This window comes from Homo sapiens, chromosome 12 (assembly GCF_000001405.40).
Source record: "Homo sapiens chromosome 12, GRCh38.p14 Primary Assembly".
Taxonomy (NCBI): domain Eukaryota; kingdom Metazoa; phylum Chordata; class Mammalia; order Primates; family Hominidae; genus Homo; species Homo sapiens.
Window position 1 is genome coordinate 98005896 of NC_000012.12, and position 9194 is coordinate 98015089.

The following is a 9194-nucleotide window of genomic DNA, read 5'->3' on the forward strand; positions in this document are numbered from 1 at the left end:
TAAGTAATTCGGGTTCATACAAGCAGAGAGTTGAATAATAGTTGCCAGGCGAAGGAGGGTGGGGGAAATGGGTAGATGTTGCTCAAAGGGTACAAACTTTCAGTTACAAAATGAACAAGTTCTGAGGATCAAATGAATAGTATGGTGACTATATTTTATAATACTATGTTATTCACTTGAAATTTGCTAAAAGAACAGATCTTAAGTGTCTTCACGCCCCTCCCTCACCACACACACAAAATGGTAACTATGTGTGGTGAAGGGCGTGTTGATTAACTTGATTGTGTTTATCATTACACAATGTATATAGATATCAAATTATGATGTTGTACACCTTAAATATATACGATTTTGTCAATTATACCTCAATAAAGCTGGGGGTGGGGAAGAAGTGCATAAGGAGGTACAGGTAACTCTGACTTTGAAATTGGGATCTGAAAGATAAATAAGAGTTAACCAAGAAAAGAGAAAGAGGTTAGTGATTCCAAGAGGAAATGCAAGTGCAATGTCCGTGAGGAGAGAAAGAGACTGGCACGTGTCTATCATCGTTGTTCAAAATAAATGGGCATACAGTGATGAAGCAGGAGAGATTAGCAGACGCCAGACCACAGGGACCCTCTAAAGACATTTGGATGCCATATTTAGGACAAAGGAAAGTTTTAAAGGTTTCTAGGCAGAGGCGTTTTATGATCAGATTTGTCATGTAGGAAGATTATTCTGGATGAATGCTGGAAAATAGATTGACATCTGGGAAGACTGGAGGCAAGGAAACCAGTTGAAATAATATGCTTAAGGAACTCTAAAGGAACTAAAATCTTAACCAAACTATGAACTAAAATCTTAGCAGTAAGGAGTGTACATCTTAGTCTAAATATATATATATATATATATATATATATGTATAAAGCCCCAACAAGTCTATGAAATAGGTATTATTATTATTCCTGTTTTATAAATGAGGAACATGAGACTTAGAGAAAAATAAATAATTGGCCTGTAAAGCTAGTAACTGGTACAGTAAGGATGATATCCAGGTCTGGAGGATAAGCCATGGGCTGAGAGATGGTGCCACTGACCATGATTGGAAATACAGAAGAGGGTACACATTTGTGAGAAAAGTGCAGGGCTCCTTTTTAGACTTACTGAATTTCAAGTGCCTATGATATCTGAGGGCAACTGGATAGATGAATTTAGAGCTCATGTGGAGATGAGGATTGGGGAGATGGGCTCATCTGGAGACAGGGATTGGGGAGATGAATCATCAGCCACGCAATTACAGTGGAAACTCTAGAGTATAGATAAGGTGGATTACAGAAGGTACACGGAGTGAAACTAGAAAGAGCCCTAGGGAAGAATCTTGAGAAACATCAACATTTAAGGGTCAAGTGTGGCCAGGGCAGTAGGAAAAAGCCCCGAGAGTATGATGTCAAAGAAGGCAAGTGCTATGGACTGAATGTTTGTGTCCACCCAGCCAAATTCATGTACTAAAATCCTAAACCCCAAGGTGATAGTGTTAGGAAATGGGGCTTTTGGGAAATGACTAGGTCATGAGGGTAGAGCCCTCATGAACGGGATTAGGGCCCTTACAAAAGAGGCCCAGAGAGCTACCTTACCCCCTCCACAAGTGAGAACACAGTAAGAAGACACCATGTATGAGAAAGCATACCCTTATCAGACACCTGATCTGCTGGTCATAGATTCCTAAGCCTCAAGAACTGTGAGAAATAAATTTCTGTTACTTATAATCTACCCAGTCCATGGTAGTTTGTTACAGCAGCTCAGATAGACTAAGACAAAATTGGTACCAAGAAGTAGAAGCACTGGCTGGGCACCATGGTTCATGCCTGTAATCCCAGCACTTTGGGAGGCCAAGACAGGTGGATCATTCGAGGTTAGGAGTTCAAGGCCAGCCTGGCCAATATGGTGAAACCCCATCTCCACAAAAAAATACAAAGATTAGCTGGGCGTGTTGGTGCATGCCTGTAATCCTAGCTACTCAGGAGGCTGAGGCAGGAGAATCACTTGAACCCGGAAGGTGGAGGTTGCAGTAAGCAGAGATCACACCACTGCTGTACTCCAGCCTGGGTGGGAGAGTGAGGGAGAAAAGAAGAAGAAGGAGAAGGAGAAGGGGAAAGGGAAGAGGAAGGGGAAGGGGAAGGGGAAGACGAGGAGGAAGGAGGAGGAGGAAGAAGAAGAGGAAGAGGAAGAAGAAGAAGAGGAGGAAGAAGAAGAAGAGGAGGAGGAAGAAGAAGAGGAAGAAGAAGAAAAGGAAGAAGAAGAAGAGGAAGAGGAAGAAGAAGAGGAGGAAGAACAAGAGGAAGAAAAAGAAGAAGAGGAAGAAGTGGAATGGAAGAAGAAGAGAAAGAAGAAGAAGAGGAAGAAGAAGAATAGGAAGAAGAAGAGGAAGAACAAGAGGAAGAAGAAGAAGAACTGCTATACAAATACCCAAAAATGTGGAACTGGCTTTGAAACTGGGTAATGAGTAGAAGGTGGAAGAGTATTGAGCTGAATGCTAGAAAAAAACCTGTATTGCCATAAACAGACTAATAAGGGCAATTCTGGTTAGGGCTTAGGAAAGTTATAGAGAAAGCCTCAATCTTCTTAGAGAATATCTGCATCATTGTAAACAGAATGTTGGTAGAAATATGGATGATAAATGTTATTTTGATCAGGTCTCAGATGGAAATACAACCACTTAGGTATTCACTATTTTAAACTGGAGGAAAGGTGATTCTTATAAAGTGACAAAAAGTGCATCGTGTTCATGTCCTAGTTTTTTGTGAAGGTAAACTTGTGAGTGATAAAACTCACAAGATATTTGGCTGAGGAAACATCTAAGCACAGCGTTGAAAGAGTAGCTTGGCTTCCCTTGAATGTTTATAGTAAAATGCAAGAAAAGAAAAATTATTTAAAGATGGATTTTTTTAATTAATAGGAAGACGATCTTAACGATTTGGAAAATTTACAACCTGGCCATACTCTAAGGAATGAGAGAGTATGTTTAGGAGACAACACCAGGGATGTCATCAAGCAACCTTTTGATAAGATTAAAATTGTACTGGTAGAAATCAGGCACTATTCATCAACACAATGGAAGAATGACCCCAAGGGCATTTAAAGATTGTGGAGGTTGTCCTTCCCATCACAGGCCAAGAATATCAGGGCCTTGGAGGCAAAATGATTTCAAGGCTCTGCTTCTCTCATTCTTGCCCAGTGATCCTAGGCAGTTCACCCAGATGCAGCATGGACCGAGGTGGCTGCCCCTCAACAGGGCACAAACTATAAACCTTGGTGGCAATCACGTAGTGCCATCTCCACTGACCTGTAGATTGTACAAAATATGAGGGTATGGCTATCTCCCTCCAGATTGTGAAGGATGGAGCCACCAAGGAGAGGGTTAACTTCAGGCTAGGGCTACCAGAATCCCCACTAGGGTAATACTTAGTGGCACCATAGAGTTAAGACCACCATGGTAACTTCAGATCATTGAAGCCACCAGCCTGCAATTCCAGCCTGGGAGAACCACTGGCACAAAATTCCCACCTATGAGGGGCTGCAGCATGGGCTGCACCTAACATAGCCATGGGTGGGACCACACAGAACTCTGAGGGGCCAACCCGTACCACAGTGTGTTTGGAAGGTTGCACGTCAATTCAAAAAACATTATTCTGGAGCCTTAAGATTTTTTAACATATTTTTAAATTTCTATGGTTTTGGGGCTATAAATGATTTTTGGTTACATGGATGAATTGTAGAGTAATAAATTCTGAGATTTTAGTGTACCCATCACCCAAGCAGTATACATTGTACTCAGTGTGTAGTTTTTTATTCCTCATCCACCTTCACCCTCCCTCTTCTGAGTTTTCAAAGTCCATTATGTCACTCTGTATGCCTTTGTGTACTCATAGATTAGCTCTCACTTGTAAGTGAGAATACATGATATTTGGTTGTCCATTCCTGAGTTACTTCACTTAGAATAACGGTCTCCAGCTCTATCCAAGTTGCTGCAAAATATATTATTTTATTCCTTTTTATGGCTGAATAGTATTCCATGGTGTATATATGTCACATTTTCTTTATCCACTCATTGGTTAATGGGCACTTAGGTTGATTCCATATCTTTGCAATTATGAGTTAGGCTGCAATAAGCATATGTGTGCATGTGTCTTTTTCATACAATAACTTATTTTCTTTTGGGTAGATACCCAGTAGTGGTATTGCTTAATCGAATGGTAGATCTACTTTTAGTTCTTTAAGAAACTGGAGCCTTAAGATTTAATGTTGTTTGCTCTGTTGGGTTTTGGACTTACTTAGGACCTGTCAACTCCTTTCTTCTTCCTGTTTTTCTCTTTTGGAGTGGGAATGTCTATCCTATGTCTGCCCTGCCATTGTGTTTTGGAAGCACATAACATGTTTGATTTCATAGGTTCACAGTTAGAGCGATTTGCCTTAGAATAAATCATACCTTGAGACTCACCTATATCTGATTCAGATGATATTTAGATAAAACTCTAGACTTTAGACTTTTGAGACAATGCTGGAGCAAGTTAAGAATTTGGGGGGCTATTGGCTGTATTTTGGATATAAAAAGGACTGCAATCTGGGGAGGCCAAGGGCAAAATGCTATGGTCTGAATGTTTGTAGCCCTCCAAAGTCCATATGTTGAAATCCTAACCCCAAGGTGATAGTACTAAGAGATGAGGCCTTTGGGAGGTGATAGTGTCATGAGGATGGAACCTTTATGAATGGAATTAGTGTCCTTTTAGGTGAGGCCCCAGAGAGCTACCTTGTTCCTTCCTTGATGTGAGGATTCAGCAAGAAGTTGCCCTTTATGAAGCAAAGAGTAAGACCTCACTAGACATCAGAGCTGCTGGTGCCTTGATCTTGGACTCCTTAACCCCAAGAATTATGAGAAATAAATTTCTGTTGTTTATAAGCTACCTACGTCATGGTATTTTCTCATATTAGTCTGAACAGAACATTCCAAGATATAGGTAGTGTCAGCATTATAAAACGAATTATGTGAGATGTGCTAATCGGAGAGGAAATTCAGAAGGTCAATCTATTGTATACAGCAGAAGAGAAAAGTTTTAAAGCTAGTTGAAAGAAAAAGAGTTAACTTAGCAAATTTAGGGGTAGAATATACTGGGGCACCAGAAAAGACAGTTAAAACAGGAGAAAGAGAATGGTGGAAATGTGAACTGCTGTGCCTTCTTGCCAGCCCAGCAATAAGGCAAGTCAAGAACACAGTGGGAGTGTGATCAAGTAGGGTTAAGGTTAATTTCAATAAAGACTAAACTTTACATGTTAATAAACTTCAATAAAGTTCAAACTCTCTTCTGGTTGACCTAGTCATGGGGGTCTCCACCGCATGCTGTTGGTATTATGAAAAACAAACACAGACATGGAGCTATTTTCAGTCAAGTTTGTTCTGCCTTAAGGGAAAGTTTGGGAAAGTGCTGAAGGGAAGGAGGAGAGGGCTGTGTGCTACAAATAAAGGTGTCATCAGGACAGAAAAAATTTAAGCTCTCCCTAAAGAAATTAAATTGAGCCTACCTGCTGGAGAGCTTCTGGGTACAACACTAATCTGTTGTTCTCCTATTGTCTTTGAACAAACTATGCACCATTGTAAAATGTACTGTTAAGAGAGGAAAAGCACCCCTACAAAAAGCTGGAAGACAAAAGGGCTACATCCCCAGTGTTAAGAGTAAATGAGAAATAAACTCACAACACAGAAAGGGATGGTGAAGAAGTGTCTCAATCTTGGCAATTTGTGAAGAGGAGATTAAAAACCCTCCCCTAGGTGTATGAGCCAAAGCACAGGCTTTGGTCTGAATTCACACCATCAGTGTAGCCAAAAAAGACCTCAAGCAGAAAATGTAGTTTAAAGTGATTTCAGGTTGTGGTCCCAGTGACTGGCAGAAAGAAGGAAACTCAAATCCTTCAGGGAAGTTGATATCAACCCAGGCTTACAGTGATTTGAAATGCCATGAATTATAAAATATGCTAAAATGCAAAAAAAAAAAAAAAAGTCTTAAAATGTATGGAATAATGTAGTTATTTCACCCTTATACCAGTTGGCCTGGAAGGAACTGTAGGTTTCACCTGATGACCTGTGAAGTTAGCTTAGGATCAGAACTTTTAATGGGCTGCCCTAGGATCAGAGCTTAGACTGTTCTTACTGTCTTACTCTCATCTAGCAGCACTAGGCCTACCCAAAGGGAGTACTGAGAACAGAACAGGAAGTCAACAACTTGAGTCAATAATCAGGGTAACTGGCACCTTTAGGCCATACTTGTTCCAGTTCAAAAGAATTCTCCTCATGACAGGTGTGTGTCACTGGGTTCACTGCAGAGACCAGATCACACATTTCTTCCAAGTCTATAAAATCAGAACTAAAGAAATCCAATGGGTTTAACAACTATATCACTACTCCTCTTTCCAAGAACAATTTTGATGGAGTCGGAAAGAAGAAGAAAAATACATTGCTTTGAAGTTAATAATCAGGTAACATGTAGAACAAAGTGATAATCATCTCTGTTCTAAAGGAGAGGACAGAATTCCCAAACATGGTATCTGTCCATTTTCTCTATTACTTAAGATCAAGATAATGCATTCCTATAAAACCTTTTTGGGATTTCACTGGTGAAGGAACCTAGTCTAAAATCATTTGCTGTTTCCAACCAAAGGCTCTTGAAATGAAGGATTTCTTCATGAATGTGTAATTTAGGTGTTTTGAATCGGACCACTGAAGAGGCATAATAAATTCTTGAATGTTAAGTGATGTTTACCTTTTTGGTTCACTGTGAAAGAATGTTTAAATTAATTCAGCTTGCTTTATTCCACTGACCAACATTCATGTATATCTTAGTGTCTAGTATGTATCTAGTTAACATCAAAGTGCTCTTTAAAAATTTTCTTCAACCAGATTCTCAACTGTCACTGTCCTCTACCACCCTTACATTATTATTCTAAATTAGTGAAGTCTTGCTGCCCATATAATAACTGTGTTTAGACATACACAGAATATTTCTTAAAGTTCTAAACTCTAAGATTTCCAAACCTGAAGAAGAAAATATAAAATAGGTGTTACCCTTGCTATAGGAGTTGCCCAGCAAAAGATTCTATTTCCCTTTTCTCCATAGAAGCAAAAGTCATACAGATATGTTAGAGTTAGTGGTTCATGTTTTTTCTGTAAAAGATATATTTTATTCTTGTTTTACCAATCTAGCCAGAGAAATGTTTTGAACTTGTTTCCCTAAGTAAAATAAAACTTGTAGGACTAATAGTAGGAGGTCTTAGGAGAAAATTGGCCAATGAAAAGCCTCATCTCCCACTTCTGATATAACAGCCTTAGTGGAGAGGACCTTAAAAAGTCAAGACTAGGTTAGTGCATCAATAAGATAGCAGAATAAGAATTTTCAGTGCTCATCCTCTTGCAGAAATATCAATTTAAATAACCATCCATGCAGAAAAACTTCCTCAAAGAGCTAAGAAATACAGCATCTGGATGGGGCACAGAAATAAGAAAAAAAGCATTGAAGAGTGTAGGACAGTTTCACGTTATTTATCTCACCTTTCCACCAATCCCAGGAAGCACAGCATGAAGAGAGGTACTCTCCACATGGAGGAAAGAGAGTGAACATTCAACTTTGCTGCACATCCAAGCACTAGGCCTGCTCTAGTAAACCATAGTACCAGGCCGGCCTCCATAGAATCAGGACTCAAGCCTGCCACAGTGCCAATCTGGCCTCCACTGCCCCAGGCTCCAGGCCTGCACCCATGGTTTGAGGCACCAAGCCCACCCCTGCACCTAGGTTCCGGGACCATCCTCACAGACCCAGTCACCAGGCCCACCCACGTGGACCCAGACTCCAGTCCTGCCCCAGTAGACCCAGGTTCCATACCCACCCCCATAAACTCGGGCACCAGGCCAGTCCCTGTGGTTCTAGGCACCAGTCCAACCTGCCCAAGGACTCCAGCAGCAAGTCTGCCCATGCACCCCATTAGCCAATCTGCCGAGAATCTCTAGAAGGGCTTTTCCTGTCAAAGGCAGCTTATAAAAATGGGGAGAGGTGCTTGCTTCTTCACATGTGCAGAAACCAACACAAGACTACAAAGATTACAAATAATCAAGGAAACACGACACCATCAAAGGAACAAAATTAAGTACCAAGAGCTGATCCTAAAGAAATGGCAATTTATGAACTCCCTGAAAAGAATTAAAATAATTATCTTAAAGAAGCTGAGTGAATTCTAAGAGAACACAGACAACTACAAGAAATCAGGAAAACAATATACAAACAAATGAAAAGTTCAACAGAGAGTCAAACCATAAAAAAGAACCAAACAAGTTCTGGAGACAAAGAATACAATGACTGAACTGAAAATTTTCATCGAGATCCTCAACAGCATACTCAATCAAGCAGAAGGAATAATTAATGGGTTTAAAGACAGGTTATACGAGACTACTTTACCCAGTCAGAAGACAAAATGAAAAAAAAAAATGAGGAAAGCCTAAGGGACCTGCGACAATGTCAAGTGAACCAACATTTGGATTGTAGAGCTCTCAGAAGAAGTAGAGAAAAAGACAGGGACAGAAAGCTTATTTAAAGAAATAATGACAGAAAACGTTCCAATTTGAAGAGGGAAATAAACATTTATATCCATGAATCCCGAAGAACTCCCACACATTAAACATAAAGAGGGGTTCACCAAACATATTATAATCAAATTCTTTAAAGTCACAGAGCAAGAGAGATTTTTGAAAGTGGCAAGAGTGAATTACTTATACAAGGGTGATTTCCAAGTGACTGTAAGTGGATTTCTCAGCAGAAATCTTGCAGGCTTGGAGAGAGTGGATGATATCTTGGAGAGAGTGGATGATATCAAAGTGCAGAAAGAACACACACACAAAAAAAACATTCAAGCAAGGATACTATACTCTGCAAATCTGTTCTTCAAAAACAAAAAAGATAAGGACTTTCCTAGACAAACAAAAGCCGAAAGAGTTTATCACCACTATATCTGCCTTACAAGAAATGCTAAAAGGAGTTCTTAAAGTTAAAAGAAAAAGGTTCTAACTAATAACGTAAGTTGTGAAAGTATAAAACTTACTGTAAAGGTAAGAATATGTATTTAGAATATGTTAATACTGAAATGGTGATTAATAAATCACATTTAACCCTTTAGTA